The 18,583-nt window shown below is 40.1% G+C and overlaps 1 protein-coding gene across 3 annotated transcripts in view, besides 1 other annotated feature; it reads left to right on the top strand.

Annotated features, from left to right (window-relative positions):
* The window catches only part of ATXN1 (ataxin 1), a 462,349-nt gene that overhangs the window by 246,469 nt on the left and 197,297 nt on the right, over positions 1–18,583 (top strand). The window lies entirely within an intron of this gene.
* Positions 6,259–6,308: an enhancer, noted in NCBI's record as "active region_24111". NCBI's record gives its function as "activates an Ori minimal core promoter by ATAC-STARR-seq in GM12878 lymphoblastoid cells {active_cell/tissue: GM12878}" and the evidence as "EXISTENCE:reporter gene assay evidence [ECO:0000049][PMID:35858748]".

Here is an 18,583-nt window from a genome sequence, read left to right as displayed (position 1 = left end):
TTATTATTTTGAGACAGAGCCTCGCTCTGTCGCCAGGCTGGAGTGCAGTGGCGTGATCTCGGCTCACTGCAACCTCTGCCTCCCGGGTTCAAGTGATTCACCTGCCTCAGCCTCCCAAGTAGCTGGGATTACAGCCTCCCACCACCACGCCTGGCTAATTTTTTGTATTTTTAGTAGAGATGGGGTTTCACCATGTTGGCCAGGCTGGTCTCGATCTCTTGACCTCGTGATCTGCCCACCTTGGCCTCCCAAAGTGCCGTGGATATTATTTTAATAACAGTGTCATCCCATGAGATAGAGAGCCTGTGGCAGAACCCAGGGATTGCCTGGGACCCAGATATGCCCACGTGAGTATCTGAGTTGCCTTAACCCCACCTCCCTTCCTTCGAGCCCTCCCTCCCCAAGGTTTAGGATCAAATCTTAAATCAGCAGCAAAACTGCCAGGCTGAAATTTCATCTCCATCCTGGCCCTCTAGTGGAGATAAAATGGTTTGAATGTGGGCGAGAAAGTAAAACGGAATGTGTGGTTGCTGAGTCTAGCTGTTGATAAGAGAGGGTTCACCATCCACCCATGAGAACTGTCTCTCTCCTGCTGGTGTGCCTCGCTCTCAGACGCAGCCTCCCTATGGCTCTGGGACATGAGGGGTAATGTCTTGCCGGTTGGTAAAATTCTTGCAAGCTGACAGTCTTTTTTTGTTTTTCTTTTTTTTAAGCTCCACAAGGCTACTGCACATTGCGTTCTTGCTCTTTGTGATCCAACAAGAGGGAGTCAGTTTTGATTTGGGAGAAAGGAGGAAGAAAGCTGTTTGATGGGCGAGAGGAGGCATGTATTGATTGCATTCCCGTTTTGCTTTCTGGGGCTGGCTGGTCATGTCACTCTTCATAGCTGCCTGGCTCTAGTGGTAGAAGAGAGTCTAATGAGAGACGCTACGGCTGTGTGCAGCTTGCACACAGCAACTCTTCAGCTCCAAGGAATCAGAGTGAGCTCCTGAGCTCCCTGGGATTCAGAGGTGCCTCAGCCCCAAATCTTTTTCCCCTGCATTTAGGCTAGAACAGGAAAGATGCTACTGGGAGAGAAGAGAATTCCTGACATCTTGCCTTTCTTGTCTGCTTTCTGCTTGGGTCTGTGGAGCAGCCACCTCTGGGCAGAGGTGCAGGAAGTGTGACAGAACAGGAAAGCTTTAAAGTCACTGTCTCCCTCCCTCCCATGCCCTAGGCTACCCTTGCTGGTCAGAACCTCCTGCTTACTCTGGTGGACAGACACCTGAGTTGCTGCTCTTGATGAAGTTTCTCCCACTTCTTCAAACCAGCAAGGCATAGGACCCCACTTGGCTTGGAAGACACGTGACGCTCTTGATCATTTCAGTCCCTTTTACATCCCCATAATATCACCGTGGCCTGTTAGATTGATTTGTGAGTAAGATTCCTTGCAAATAGCAAGATGATCGGAAGCCTCTATCTTTTCCGGGGGAGGTGCATATTTAAACAGACAGCCTAAGCTATTTATAGATTGTAATGTATTGTGTTACAGGGAAAAGGTGGAAGTCAACAGTAATGTTCTGTTCCCCATTTCCTATAGTTTCAAGCATATTTTCTTGCTAGTCCTAGAGACTTTAAACATTTAGAATCTCCAGTGATATCTATATTCTTTTGATGTACTTTGTGTAGAAACTCAAGCACGAGCAGGCTTCAGAGTCAGCTAACCAAAGAATCTTGGGGCTTTTGATCACTTTCCATTAGCACAAACAGTGATCTCTGCCCTGTTGTATATTGTTTGAAAGGACATTTGCTGTTTAATGAAGATAAACATGTTGCTGGGTTTTTAATATGTCTTCTCAACTCAGGAGCTGAAAAATGCATACATGAGATTAGTTCTGTTGGCGTAGAAGGGATTCTGCGTGCCCCAAACATTTTCCTAGCCGTTGGCTGAACTTTTGAAATGTGCTTTGCACTGCAAGAACAGATACTGAACAGATATTTTACTTAGAAAGCCTTCTGTTTCAATGGTGATTCCCAGGGGCCACTCAACCACATCTTACTAAATAATATTTGGTCAAAAGAGAAACGTGAGTGCAAGAAGGACACATGATCACAGCCACTAACAAATTCCTAGAAAGTGCTGCTTGTTGTCATTTCTGGTTAGGAGGTGATGGTGATGGCAGGTAGAGGGTCTAAGCCATTCTCCTGTCTCTCTTTTAAAGTACATTCTTCTGTTGCTGTAGCTCCTGGCATTGGCTGTCACCCTCACTTGCAGGAGGGAGGGAATGACTGTTTGTTGCTGTTGGTGTCTGAAAATCTGTGGGCAGAACTTTTAGAAAAAGCAGACCACAGAGCCTGCTATATATTTTGTTCAGCCCATTCTATTTCTCTTCACTTTTTAACCGATTGCGACAAAAAAAGGGGCCTGCCTTCTAAACTTGTCTTTATCTTTAAAAGAGAATACCTTTTATAAATGCTTAGAACTTGGAGATGCTGTTGTTTTTATTTAGTATTTGAAAAGCTAAGTATGCTGACACTGTCCTGGGAGTGCAGGCCCCTCATTGAGAGAGAACAGTAAACACAGCAATGACTTTGCTTTTAATTTGAAATGCGTTACTCTTCTTAGAGCTGAGGGGTGATTTGAGATGTTCCTGTTTTCACATTCAGCTATTTCCTGGTTCTGTGATCATAATAAATTCCATAGCTCCAAAACATTAGAGCAAATTGTGTCTTCTGTAGGAGTTATTTACGGATACTCAAACAAATGGTGCTTTCTGAGGAAGAAGAACTGTGTATGAAAACTATGTGGTAAAGCCTTTCATATCTGCCGTGGTGGCAGAACTTCTGAGGAGCTGGCTTTGAGGGTAATGATATCTTTATCACCCTGACGCTGAATGGAGGCGGGGAGGCCTTTGTGTGTTCTGTTGCCAACTAACACCTGGCTGCCTCAGGGCATCCTGCCTGGTAATTGAACCCATGAGTATGTACAAAGATTAGAGGGACCGTTTGAGGAGAAAGATGGGGGCTGGAGAGGCAAGGTTAGTCTTGCCATTATAAGCTTAGGTGCAGAAGGAAGCCAAGCTACCTGGAAGGCCACCTCGTGGCAAAGACACCCACTAAGGCAGGGCGGTGGCCTGGGACTGACCATCAATCACTTCCCGCTCATTCTCCTCAGAACTGAGGACTGTTGTCTTCAGTCTTCCCCAGCCTCGCTTATCTTCCTCCTGCTTCCTGAAGGAAATATCCTTTTGCAATGGGTGGACTATCAACTTGAATTTTTAGCAAGCAGGCTGGAGAAGTTTTTGGAAGTTTTGGAGACATGGCTGGTCTTGAATTCCTGGGCTCAAGCAATCCTCTCACTTTGGCTTCCCAAAGTGCTAGGATTACAGGTATGAGAAGTTTTTGGAGGTTTCGGACTTGTTGCTAGGTTGATTCTGAGGGAGAAAAGACCTCTGTTATTCAGAAGGTTGTGGACTTCTGAAGAATGGAAATCGGGCACCCTGAAGGAAACATATGTCAATCCTAGTCCTGGAGCTAGCATGGCTCAAGTTTATTCCCTTAAATGTCTATTGTGTTAAAACATAAAAAGAGTTTAGATATACTTCCACATCTTTGCAGTTGTTAGCTCTCTGGACATTTATAAAGGGAAAGGAAGAGTGAAGCAGAGCCCCATTAATTCCCATGCATGGTGTCTGCTGTTTGAATCCTGGAAATCAGGATGATTTTATTCACATGTTAATGCCCTCTAGTGGCTAGTGAGGTGCCCTCTAAGCAGGACTTTCCCCAGCTTCCACCCCTTCCTCTCCCTAACTAAATTAAGCACCCACTTTACAGTAGTTGAGTATGTGTCATATCAAGTCTGTATTTTCTTACTAAGATTCATCTACCACGTGGGAAAAAAAAAATCAAAAGCTTTGTTACAGTTCAAAGAACGTAGTGCTGTTGCTACATCAAGTGAGGATAAATCTTCCATCTGTAGCAATCTGTATTATAAGTCTACTGGATGTGACAGAAAACTCTTTAAAACTTTGATGCACATATTTTCACAGCCAACCGATTTCATTAAAGTGGGAGAAGTGTACTATTGGCAAGCAGTTTTTCTGCTGACTTCCCACCCTTAAATAGACAAGCTTTATAAAAAGACAAAATCTTCCCAGATCTATTTGGTTGGCCAAGGTGACATTTGTCTTCCTCCCTCAGAAGGTTGGTAAAATTAACCTTCTGCTTTCTGTATACCTTTACTGTATTTTTATTTCTATTTATTTATTTATTTATGAGACAGGGCCTCACTCTGTCACCCAGGCTGGAGTGCAGTGGTGCACTCACAGCTCATTGCAGCCTCAACCTCCTGGGGTTCAAGCAGTCCTCCCACCTTAGCCTCCCAAGTAGCTTGGGACTACAGGTGTGTGCCACCATGCCCAGCTAATTTTTGTATTTTTGGTAGAGATGGGGTTTCACTGTGCTCCTCTGGTTGGTCTTGAACTCCTGGACTCAAGTGATTCTCCCACCTCTGCCTCCCACAGTGCTAGGTATAAGCCACTGTGCCTGGCCCTAGTTTTATATAGGTAAAGCATTAGTCACTCACAATGATCTTTGAATGAGTTATGTAAGTTATGTTTGGTTTCTCCTACTTTGTTTTCCTAGTCAGTTCAACCAGTCAAGTATGAGATGAGTGGCTGCTGTGAGCTTGATCAAGTGGGTCGGAATCCCCTGGGAATATTGTTAAAATGCAGGTTCTGATCCTGTCGGTCTGAGATAGGGCCTGAGATGCTGCTGGTCCCAGGAAGACACTTTGAGGAACAAGTTGCTAGGTGATGCAGAAGACAGAAGCCATATTTGATTTTCAAAAATCCTATGATCTGAAAAGGAACTAGGAGAAGTATACAAATAAGTATGGCATAAGACAGAAGGTGATAAACTGTATATAAAAGTAAAAACACGCTTCAGAGGGTTAAAGATAGAAGTGATCACTTCTGATTGGGAAGATCAGGCCAATTTCCACAGAGAAGGTGATTTGGGAATGGGATTTTAGTTTGCAACAGGGATTGCGGGGAGGCGTGCGAGGGCCATTGAGACCAGAGACGCAGATTCTGGAAAGTGAAGAGTACGTTCTGGAACAAGGGGCCACCCGTATGCCTGTGATGGGGAAAAGTGGGAGATAACAGTTGGGAAGGTAAGTGGAAGCCATATTGTAGACTGTCAGACAGTCTGGGATGGAAACTCTGGACTTAATTCAGGAAGCGAAGAGGAACCAGCAACAAGAGATTTTGAAACGAGAAAGAAGATTGAAACTGCAGTTTAGAAAGATTCATCTGGCATGTATATGTAGGATAGACGGGAGTGGGGAGTGACAGCCCATTCCAAGAGAAGGAGTAGTAGATAGGACAGATAGCATGATTACTCTTAGCAATGGGGAAAATAGAGACTAGATGCGATACAGAGAGAGAAGGATCAGAAGGTGTCCAGGGGCTGTCAGAGTTTCAGTCCTGAATGGCTACAGAATTACCATAAATAGGACAGTCAGAATGAGCTATCGAATGCTTTTGAATGGAAAAATGACCTGAATGAGTGCACAAATGTCACCTCCAAGAGGCCTTCCTTGTCCATCCTATCTAACATAGTATGCCGGTCTTCTTACCCTGCTTTGCTATTTTCATGACACTTTTTACTGTGACATTAAAAGGATGGCAAGAAAAACAGGGAGGCCAGGTAAGAAACCTGTAGTTGACAGGATAGAAAATGACAGTGGCTTGGGCTTGAATGGTGGCAGTGGCATCAGAGAGAGGTAGCTGGGTTCAAGATACAGCCTGATAGTATCCAGTATATTCTCGTTGTGCATCCAGTCTCAGCTGTTTGTGTCTTGCAAAACTCTGTACCCATTAGACAATAAATTCCCCCTTCCCCCTTCCCCCTCCCTCCTGGTAATCACCATTCTACTTTCTGCCTCTATGAATTTGACTGCTCTAGGGACCTCCTATGAGTAGAATCACACAGGGTTTGTCCTTTTGTGACTTTTTGTTTAGCATAATGTCCTCAAGGTCATCCATGTTGTAACATGTGTCAGAATTTCTTTTTTTAAGGCTGATGAATATTCCACTCTTGTATATATCACATTTTGTTTATTCATTCATCTGTCCATAAACACTTGGGTTGTTTCCACCTTTTGGTTACTGTGAATAATGCTGCTATGAATGTGGGTGTACAAATTTGAGGTTCTCCTTTCAGTTCTTTTGGGTATATACCTGGAAATGGAATTGCTGGATCACGTGGCAATTCTATTTTTAAATTTTTTATGAACTGCTGTATCGTTTTCCACAGTGGCTGCACCACTTTGCATTTCTACCAACAGTGCACAAGGGTTCCAGTTTCTCTATGTCCTCACCAACAGTTGTTATTTTCTGGTTAAAAAAATGTATTTGATAGTAGCCATCCTAATAGGTTGGAGGTTTGAGACCTTTTTTTAGGGGATATTTCAGATAGACAGTTGAGTCTTCAGGCCTGCAGCTCAAGAAGTCTGGGCCTGCATTATACCATAGAAGTTCATATTTATGCCATCCTTTATCCTTTCAATGAATTTTTTGGCCAGTTTGTCTATAAGCATTTAAGGATTTAGAGATTTCTATTAAACCATCAGATTTGTGCTTAAATTATTTAATCTCAAAGACATTTTAAATAATATATACATTAATTTAGACATACTGCTTTCTTCCACTTTCATATTATATGAAATAATTTTACTTACAACTTTTATCTACTATATCAGTATCTTCCTCACGTTTTGAACTACATGGCAGGTCATGTAGTATCGTTTTCCAAAGCACATCATCTTGACGTTCATCTACTCTGTGTTTGATGCTATTACCAGAAATTTCATCCTAAGCCGCAAGTGCCCATTCCTATATTCGTTGGTTACATTTGTTGAGACCCCATTGGCCAAAAAAAGACATATAGCCAAGCCCACAGTTAATGTGAGCATGGCTATAGGGAGGCATCCTACATTGGGGACCATTATTGTCACAATATCCTAAACCATATTATTAAGAGATGTTTTTCTTCATTCTTCCTGTGAGTGTATTTTGATGAACTCTGCAACTTAACCACTTACTGTGTTGCTTTTAAAAGTAATCTTTAAAATGCTTTTTTATTTATAGTGACATCCAGTGCTTGCAACTAGGAAAGTCATACTTCCAAGAATAATTACTAGTCAAATTTGTTTTCTTCCATTAAAAAACAAAAGGAAAAACAGTTCTGTTAGGTGGCTGTTATATAAACATGCCAAACTAGCATTTATCAAGGTAGTTTTAAGGTAATATGTCTTCCATAAAGACTACTTTATTTAAGAGACCAATAGATACAATAAACTTTGTAAGAACTCAAAAATTAAGGGTACTTAGGCTTTTCTGAGGGCTTTCTTTGGAGAAAAATTACCTTATATTATATTACCTTTTATTCAGGCATACATAATAATTGTAAATTTGGCTTTGGAGACTTCAGTCAAAGAAAGAGCTTCTATACAGGAAAAGCCCTTAAACACTAATATAGTGATTGAGCCCATTGCTCATAAATGTTTGCTAAGAAAAATACTTGTCTGGCGTATTCAAAGGTCAGTCTTTCCTAGAGGCATGAGGAACGTTTCAGAGTTCCTTCGGACATTGCAGTGCTGTGGCTGGATGATGCCACTTACCCATCTATTTATCCATTTATTTATTCATTAACTTCAAACACCTTCTATAGTGCAGAGAATTTCTAAATACCATATATTAGAAAATCTTTATTTTATGAGTTTGGCTGACAAGGGTAGGAATAACAACAGATATTAAACCAAAAAGTTTTGCATTACTGAAAAAATTGGACAAATTCATATTAAAAGTTCCTAACCAAAAATCTCACAGATATGATGCAGTAATTGAAATCCATCATATTCTAAGGCTTAAAGCATGATGATCTGCTTCTACAGTGATAATTTGGGTAAGAAGGACAGTGTTCTAAAAAAGCAGCCTTAATATATAACACGGAGGAGTATATGTATTTTGGTCACCGGCCATTTGTCTGTCCATCCATCCATCTGTCCATTCATCCATCCAGCTGTACATACATCCCTACATCCTTTGGTTTATTTCAGTGGTGTCAACTCATTACATGGCGTTGAATGATGTTATCAATAATCATTGGCATGCCCTTTACTCCCTTAGGGTAGAAGAGAATTAGGTAAAAGGTAGTACTGAAAAAATGTTTTCCCCTCTTGCTGCAAAGTTATAAGCTTTTGTTTCCTAATCAGGCCCACTAGACCACATTTTGCCAGTGAGCCTCCACTGAAACAAATAATGATAATGTTCATTTCACATCTTTGACCTGGGAATTGCAGAGTGATTTACCAACATTAACTCATCAATTCTCCTAACACTTCTGAACAAGACATTATAATATATCATTGAATTCATCATGTAAATGGATTCTGTGTTTTCCAGAGAATTTCAATATCCTGGCCACCAATTACATAGGGAGTGAGGAGAAAAATTAAAACAAAAATTACCCTTTTCTGAACTACTGTCTTGTGGCCTGATCTCCATCAGAATGTCTTATTTTCTGGAAATTTTAAAAGGGGGAGGTCAGAGGAGACATCAGCTTTGCTTATGTAAAACTATTAAATAAAATCATACTAGAGAAAAATCATTAGAAAATGACCATTTCCCTTAAACCACTTTCTTCATTTGACTCATTGCTTAATAAAATGATGAACTTGAAACGATGCTGCCTGCTCCATGTCACCCAAATGATGAGTCACATCATGTGAACAAATGGAAATAAATCACCAGCGAAAAGGCCAAACTTCTGTGCTACCCTAGAAATATTTTCTATTTTTCCAGGGCTTCCAATGATCTTCCATTCCTGTTTAACTCAGCTTATAGTAAGCCCTGATGCCAAGATTTTCTGAGTTCCCTGCCAAAACCATGATGCTCTCAGCCTGGGCCTCTCTTCTAGGAGGGAAGACACTGCCCTCCAGATGAAGTGAAAAGGAGAATCACAAAAAGAGGATTATTCCTTATGGGAGGAAATGGGACACGTGCTGCTTATTGTAACATCATTCGCCATTCGTTGGGTATATGGAGGCTTTTATGAGAAAGCAGAGGTTTTTATAACTCATTTACTCTGGCAAGTGAAGCAACACTAAAATTACTTAAGTGTTTAAAAGATAGACGCATAGTAGTTTATGTTCTCAGTCATCTTATTACTGAGACCCTAATTTGCTTTCGTTAAACTGTCGGTTCTCCCTGAGAGTGCTATTGTTATCGGAGCCTCATAACCGTGTACACGGGTCAGTGATGGTACAATATTTCCGGAAATTTAAGTCCTCCATAAGTAGTCAATTGCAGGTTGTTTTAAGGAACAAAGACTGCTTTTCCAGCAAGCCTGGCTTGTGTTCCTATTAAGGCCCCTTCTTTTTTATTGCAAGGGGAAATTTCAAAATCTCATTGCTGTATTTAACTTTCTATTTTAGTAGGCTGCCAGTGCACTTAACCTTCCATATAAAGCTTATATGCGTTTATGCGTTCTTTCCCTTATTAACTTTTTAAGGTTTGGGATGTCAGCCTGACCTAATGATAGAATATGCAAAAATAGTCCTGATACCAGCACCCTGAGCCCACCTAATAAGGGACCTTTTTCATACTGTTTACTTATTTCTGAGTAACAGAAAGTCTGATGGTTTGGTGCTGGCTGGTTAAATTCAACACATGGTAAGCTTGCCTGTTAGTGAAGAAGGTTGAGATTTGGGCTGCCGGTATGTTTTCTTCTTTCAGGCAAGGACTGAGTGGCTTCCCCATGTGTGCCTAGGTGTCCAGCTGACCACAGCTGAGAGGGATAAGCAGGGATTGTGTCCAGCTGAGTTTGGGCCCCTCACTCAGTGGCCTACGTTCCTCGGAGGGTGTGTGTAATTAGCTGCTGAGTAGTAGAAGGCAGTAGCCATGATCCCAGTTGGAAAATAGAAGTAGAGCTAAAGCTAAAAAAAAAAAAAAAAAGGAAACAGGAGAGCTGATTGCAGGAGGAGGAGGAGGTGGGCTCTTGCTATTTTCTAGAGCCTGAACCAACCATGCAAAGTAGAATAGCAGGTGTTGCAGCTCTTTCCCCCAGGAGGACTCCTGAGCCTCGTAAGAAGGTCAGAGAGCTGGTTGAATGTTGGTGCAGGAAGCACGTCAGGAACAGCTTAACACTGGTTTAATTTTCATTTCCCCTGTGTTATTTTACACATGAGGGGAGTCTGAGGCTGAGCGCCGTGGAGAGGTCTTTGTGGGGAGCAGTTCACGTCAGATCCAGGCCTGGTCACCTCCTGGCCTCATCCCATTCACCTGAGTGACTTGTCACCCTTTTCAAGTCCTTTTCCTTCTTTGCTTTTTGCTTCTCCAAGTGTGAGATTGGCAATGTGATCATTATATGAAAAACATTTAAAATTAAAAACGATTCTGTGCAAATATGAAATAGATACCAGTTTTCTTTGATTTCTGTAGTGTCACTGATGATAATATGCACTGTAGATTAAATGATTAGTTTCTGGGGGTGGGGGTGCTACCACTCTTTTATGTACCAATCATATATAAAATAAGTCCTGAGTTCAGAAATGTTAAAATGACAAAAATCACATGGTTGTCATATATAAGCTATGTGTGTTGTATACAGGCTGTTTGACACACAGGCCCTGTTCTTTACAAGGCATGCTTTCTGGAAGCCCAAACCAGTCCCAGGAGTGAAAGCTGGCTCCTAGCAATACATGCGAGTAGGAGTCAGTGAGGGCTTAGGAAAATTATCCAGGAAATTCATTTTGAGCAGCCCAAACTGCTAGCTAGTAGCTAAGCTAGTAGGCAGGAGTTTCATTGACCACATGTCTCAACCACATTTACCACATTTCTTGCTAAAGATGCCCTAAGTGGGGCTGAAAGGCACAAGATATATAGCAGGTGGGGGCAAGGGGGAAGTGAAGAACCTGGGTACCCCACACCCTAGATCATTCAATTACATTTTTAAGAATTTTTTAAATGTACGTATGTTAAAAAGTTTCAGTTTTGCAAAATGAAGAGTTTGGGGGGTGGATGGTGGTAATGGTTGTGCATCATTGTGAACGTACTTAATGCCACTGACTGTATAGTTAAAAATGTTTAAGATGGTACATTTTATATTTGTGTAGTTTACCACAATTTTTAGAAGTATATATGTAATATATATGTATATTTACATAAATATTTTTCCCTAGTTTGATGAAAGTATATTGTCATGTCATCCACTCACCCATCCATCTTTATTCATTCATTCAACAAATATTTATGAAGCCACTGTTAGGTCAACATCTGTGTTCCAAGCTGGAATATAACTATGAATACATTTTCTGTGCTTGTGTTACTCTGAGGTTAGTTTAAGTGAAAGCCATATGAACAATAATTACCAGCCAGCGTGGTGAGCCAAAAATGAATGTGTATGTGGAGTTAAGACTGTGTCCAGCTGTGCAGAGTTGTGGGGTGTCTTGGCATCTGTCAAAGAGAAGATGGACATAAAGAGATCACCTGCCAAGGGACAGCATGGACAAAGCACAGGGAACAAACAGCATGGTGCAGTGTGTGCAGGGAACAGTCAGTACTCCATTGGTGGTAACTTGTCATGAGGCCAGGAGCAAACCATAGAGGGTCTCATAGGCCATGTTAAGGAGTACAGACTCCTCAGCTCGGTGGAGGTCAGACCACATTCTCCAGTAGCCTGAGGATTTCTCAGTCTCCCAACCTCTGCCCTGTGAACCTCTGTGGGGCTGCCTTCAGAAGTACTTGGTGGTGATGGATGAGGAGTAGGAGGAACCGATAAAACTAGATAGTGTAAGTAGCCTCAATTTTATTTATCTTGTGTATTAGATTTCTATATAAGATTTTGTTTGAAGGCAGAGTTCTGGCTTTTAAAAAACACATTTGAAAATCATTGCTGTTGGCAATGAGGAATCATAAAAAATTATTATAGTTGGTGACGATTAGCTTAGTGTTTTAAAAATCAATATTCTGCATTCAAAGCAATAAACCTTCTTTCTCCATTTCTGAACCTCACCTCACAGTACTTTGCACATACTAAGCATTCAATGAAATGTTCAGTGGGAATTGTTTTAGGGCTATGACTTAGGGATATTTTCATTATACTACTGTCATAAGGGTCCACTTAAATAGAATGTTGCCCAGTAACTCAAAAGGAATTTGTAGAAATATAAACTATATAACTTGCCTTTTATTCTCACTTTTCTTTGTGTGCGATTGGACTGTAATAATTATTTTTTCTGAGTTTTCTTGTCTATTTCTGAGACATCAGGTTTTATAATTTGATGCTTTGGACCTGGTTGACAATTCCGATTCTGTATGTAGGATTGAACTTTGTGGGAAATAGCAGTTAATTGTATTTTTTAATGCTTAAAATGATATTCTGGGCAAGTTTTGTTTCTTTACGGTCTATAGCCAGAATCCTACTGTTTTTCAATTTGTTTAAATGCAACAGCTTATACAGCATATGTACATGTTCAGTTGAAGATAAAGGATATCATTATTTTTAGCCTATTACAAAGAAAACCACATTTTCTCTTAAATGTCTTGATATAAAGTAATTTGAACACAATTTCTGCACAAATCATTTTCAAGAGATTGGCTGTCAAGTGTATTTTTTTAAGTAGCACTTTCATAAGAACCAATGAAACTTTGCAAATTTAGATAGATTCTAAGCCTGAAATGTGGTTGAAGATGTCAGTTTTTAAACAGCACTTTGAGAAGTAGTTAACTTAAAAGTATAGCAATTCAGAGCATACTGAGAATGATTTTGAAGAGTAAAGTCTTGATACACTGAAAAGAAAGTTGACAGATTCACTACAATTAGGAGACAAGGAGGTACAACTCCCACTTGTGAAAACTTTTCTCATCTAACCAACTTCTAATACTTGCCTAAGAAAATCTTCAGCAAATCCTTACTCCTTTGCAGCTCCTAAATCTATTGTATAGAATTCTTCCAGTTTCCTAATAGATGCTGGCGAGGCTGTGGAGAAATAGGAATGCTTTTATGCTGTTGGGGGACTGTAAATTAGTTCAACCATTGTGGAAGACAGTGTGGCGATTCCTCAAGGATCTAGAACCAGAAATACCATTTGACCCAGCAATCCCGTTACTGGTTATATACCCAAAGGATTATAAATCATTCTGTTATAAAGACACATGCACACATATGTTTACTGCAGCAGTATTTACAATAGTAAAGACTGGAAACCAACCCAAATGCCCATCAATGATAGACTGGATAAAGAAAATGTGGTAAATATACACCATGGAATACTATGCAGCCATAAAAAAGAATGAGCTCATGTCCTTTACAGGGACATGGATGAAGCTGGAAGCCTCATTCTCAGCAAACTAACACAGGAACAGAAAACCAAACACCGCATGTTCTCACTCATAGTAGGAGTTGAATAATGAGAACACATGGACACAGGGAGGGGAACATCACACACCAGGGCCTATCGGTGAGTGGGGGGCAAGGGGAGGGAGAGAATTAGGACAAATACCTAATGCATGAGGGGCTTAAAACCTAGATGATGGGTTGATAGGTGCAGCAAACCACCATGGCACATGTATACCTATGTAACAAACCTGCATGTTCTGCACATGTATCCCAGAACTTAAAGTAAAATTTAAAAATATTTTAAAAATAAAGAATTCTTCCAGTTTCCTTATGGCATAATAATGGAAACAGAATAATAACATGACAACCCTCCTTTCCTTGTTTTAAGGAAAAGTAAGTTGTTAGGCCTGTGAACAATGGCAGAACTGAAATGGAGTCTTCACTCAAGCCTTGTGTGTGATTGTGTGTATGCATGTGTGCATGCGTGCATATGTGCACACTCACGCACATGCACAAACCTACACATTTGAGTGCACCAGTTTAAAATAAGAGAAAAAAGTGACATGAAACTCACTTCCCAATTTCTACCATCATTAATAATACATTTTACCAATTCTGATTTGTTCTACTATTGTGTCAAGGCTAGTTAATGTGCCCCATGCATTGGCAGACAAGATGATATTATGTGGAAATTGTGTCTTGTCTATTATAAGAACCTGAATATTTAAGTATGGGAGATTTTTGCCTGATATTCTTCAGTCTTGTCACTCACTACTGATTAAGCTTTGTAATCTATATATGGGCATTAGATGAATCCATAAATGAATGAATTGGTAGTTTCCTCAATGTTTTTTTTTTTTTTTTTTTTTTATCATAATGAAGATATTTCATGACCTTTTACCAGTCTTATCACATCTTGGAAAGAATTACTACATCTCTGAAAACCCTACCCAGGTACCTTCTTGTAGTTGGGCCATATGTTTCTCAATTCAGATATACCCTTGAGGTCCACTTTCCTTAGGTGGACATACACTTATGTACACTCACACACCCACATGCATACAATATAGAGAAAGAAAGGTAAATAGTAACCGACAGAGGTAGTGCCTGCTATTCTCTTCAGCGAGTTGTTATCCCCTCGTCCCATTCCACAAGATGGGTGCCACATTGAAGATGCAACCAAATTACATGCCCACACTCACAGTGGTTGGCCCTTTTGAAATTACTGGGAGATTATAATGATACAGACTGTGGGGTTGAAACAATTGTATTAAAATCAATTTTCTGCCACTTCCAAGTTCTGTGATCTAGGGCTGTCGCTTAATTAATCTCTCAGAGTTTGTTTCCTCGTGTGTCATATGGGAACAATAAACTTACTTTCACACGGTTGTTGAGAAGAGTGAATGATAACTGATACAAGAAATTCAAGTTTTGTTAGTTTTAATCGGACATCATAAGACTTTTAAAATCATGTAAATGTACATCCCTAATTGCTTGCAAGTGGTGCAAGGTGACAAGAGGAGCCACCTTTGTGGGAGGAGTAGGTGGCAACCTCTGATGACTTCAGGACAGTGACTCTCCACCTTGGCTGCATAGTAGAATCACTTGGGGAGCTTTCCAAAATTCTATTGCCTGAGCCATACCCCAGACCAGTTAAGTAAGGATCTCTGTGGGTGGAACCCAGACATTAGTACTTTCTAAATCTCTCTGGGTGGTCACAATGTGTAGCCAAGTTGGAGAACTGATGCTTTAGGGGGATTTAAAAGTCTTCACTCCTTGCATTGGCTGAATTGATGATAGCCAGAATTCTACAACCTACACTGTATTCTTTTTGCTTAAGATAAACAGAGTCTTAGGTATCATGCCAAAAGTCTATTATTTCTCTTGGTTATACACGATTTGGCATGAATTAGTTTATTAAGTTTTCTCCAAAGAGCCAATCTTAATGGGTGGGTGTCGGGCTTGGAAAGAGAACAGAGGTCTGTGGATATCTGAAGACAGGGGCTGTTCACTAGAGGGGCACAAACACAGAGGCAAATGCAACCCAAAGTCAGCAATTTCAAGCTACTGTTGCTTTTGAAAATTAGTTCTTGCAAAAGCACCACCTCAAGAGGTGGTTGGCTTCCCTGAAAGCTCAGCATCATGGCTCTGGTGGGTCATCATTCATGAAAACTTGCTGCATCTTTAAAATGTGGGATGAGGAAAAACATTTAAATAGTGGCTGAATACAGTCATAGTGTAACCAAAAGCCAGAAAATTAATTTTTAAAATAATGTATATTTTTAAAGTTTTGTTTTTTCAAGAGAAAAGACTAAAATCACTTCATACTCAAAATCTCTCTTACCTCTTTTCAACAATTGGTGCTGAGACAATGGAAAAAGTCACCTGGGACACATGCCAGAGAAAGAAGTTGAACCCTTACCTCACACCATATACAAAAATGAACTAAAAATGGATCAATACCCTAAATGTAGGAACTGAAACTATAAAACTTTTAAATGAAAACAGGAGTAAATCTTCATGACCATGGATTTGGCAATAGATTCTTAGATGTGACACCAAAAGCACAAACAACAAAAGAAAAAAATAGATGCATTGGACTTCATCAGTATCAAAGCCTTTGTGAACCAAAGGGCACTGTCAAGAAAGTCAAAAGACAGCCCACAGAATGGGAGAAAATATTTGCAAGTCAGTATCTCATAAGGGTCTAGTTTCTGGAATATATAAAGAACTCTTACAATTCAAAGAGAAAAAGACTAACAACCCAGTTTAAAGATGGACAAAGGCATTGGATAGAGATTTCTCCAAAGAAGATATATAAATAGCCAATAAGCTTATGAAAAGATGTCCAACATCATTAGTGTTTAGGGGAATGCAAATCAAAACCACAATGAGATACCACTTTATTATGGTCACCCATTATGATGGCCATAATTTTTTTAAAAAAGGAAAATAACAAGTGTTGGCAAGCTTGTGGAAAAAATGGTAATCTTCCTACCTGGCTGGTGGGAATGTAGTATGGTGCAATCACTATAGAAAACAATTTGGCAAGTCCTCAAATAGCTAAATACAGAATTAACATATGACTCAGTAGTTCTGCTCTTAGGTATACACTGAAGAGATTTGCAAACAGGTATTCAAACAAAAACATGTACATGAATGTTCATAGCAGCATGATTCATAGTAGCCCAAATATGGAATCATCCCAAATGTCCATCAACTGACGAATAAATAACAAAATGTGGTATAGCCTACAATAGAGTATTATTGAACCAAAACAAGAATGAAGTACTGGTACATGTTACAATATGAATGAGCCTTGAAAACATTATGCCAAGAGAAAGCAGCCAGACACAAAAGGCCACATATTGTATGATTCAGTTTATACACAACATCCAGAATAGACAACTCCTTAGAGTCAGAAAGTAGATTAGTCTTTGCCAGGGGCTGAGAGGAGTGGGGGACAGGGAGTGACTGTTTCATGGATAAGGGGGATGATGACAATCTTCTGGAATTAGATAGTGATGATGGTTGTTCAACATGTGGATGGAGTAAAAGCCACTGACTTACACACTTTAAAAACAGTTAAAATGCTGAATTTTGTTTTATGTGAATTTTATCTTCATTAAAAAATACCCCTTTGACCCCATCTCTTCTCTAATCCTGCACATATAGCCTTAAACCAGTCATTTTACCCTTTGTGATTCCATTTTCATCTTATTCTGTTTTTTCCTCTAATGTTCAACTTCTGCAAAGAGACATCTACACTGGTCTTCATTTCCTTTCCAGCCCTTCCATTCATCACTCCAGATTCTACACCTGACCTGGAAAGGTCTGTGTTAACTCAAACAGAAGCTTGGGCACCTCTTCCTTACTAGAAGGGCATTCCAGTGATTGACATTAGAAATCAAGTTCCCAGCATGGCCCTGCCACCAGGCTGGACTCGTCCATTGCACTGTCACCAAGGAATGTTAAGTCTTGGAAACAGATGGAGGAACTTGCACGGCGTTTCCCAGCAGGCACAGGCGATTCCTGCAAACTTAGGAGAGTGAAAGTCACACGAACAAGAATGTAAATTTGTGTGAGAAGACGTGATGCTGTTACTAGCAGAGTTAAAGTGCTTTTAACTTTGGATAATGGATAGTCTGCTCTGATTGCCTCGAAGGTGGATCTCCAAGCCCACAGAACGGTCTAAAAGTGGAAGGAAGCTGTATTAATCATTTATTTAATTTTCTTTCTTTCTCTCTTTTTCTGCTGGGGTCAGCAGGAATGGGAATCTTTTTTTTTTTTCTTTTTACATCAGTCTTATTATGATTATGATTATACTGAAAGACCTGGATGGGAGGAATGCTGCAATCTGAATTAAAAATAGCATTTTCTGTCCTCCCACACACAACACTTGAGTGCTCTGAATGCCTTTTATAAATGCAGACTTTCTGCCTGGCTAGATAAAAGAAGCTGTCACTTCATTTCCATAACGAAGTCATTCCCGGGAGAATTCCATTGTTTTAGCAATAGAATTTTTGTAAAAGGCCTCTTATTTTGCCTGAAAAAGGTAACAAAAATGAACTTTTGAGAGCTTATTCGACAAAACAATTAAGCAGTGAAGAGAGATTTTCTCCTTTTTTGATATATTAGGAGTTGTAAGTGTGAGAATCCCCTGAGCCATGATACTAGGATAAACCCCTAAATCTGCAAGATGAAGGAGGAGGGGAGAAATCCTGTTATTCTTTCTCCTAATAGAAATGGGGATATGCTCTTCCCCGAGAATATGTGTCCTAGAGCCAAGTGACACATAGATGATGCTAATTCTAAAGAGTTTTAAATATTTAGTCTTAAAGAGAGGTAGGAAACTTGTAGAATGCTCATGGTGTAAAGAAATTCCTTGGGGTTTTTAATGAAACGCGATCATCAGGTATTTTAACTGAGTTTCAGGACTCTTAAGACAAACCACGGCTGCATCTTGCCAGCGTCCTTTACTCATAAAATAGTAGTTGATATTTTTCTTTATTTGCATTGAAATTGCAGCAAGTGGAGTACAGGGTCCTTCATGATGCAGTGTGACCTGTAGCGAGCTCAGACAGGCCTGTGGACATGTGGTCACACTCAGCACCCCTCTCCTGTGTTTCCCCATCCCTCCACACGATGGATCTGTGCTCCAAATATGGTATCAAATCTTCAGCGCCACATTCATAGAAAG

The sequence above is a fragment of the Homo sapiens genome, chromosome 6, assembly GCF_000001405.40.
Source record: "Homo sapiens chromosome 6, GRCh38.p14 Primary Assembly".
Classification (NCBI taxonomy): domain Eukaryota; kingdom Metazoa; phylum Chordata; class Mammalia; order Primates; family Hominidae; genus Homo; species Homo sapiens.
Note: the sequence above shows the minus strand (reverse complement) of the source record. Positions and strands in the feature narration are given on the sequence as shown.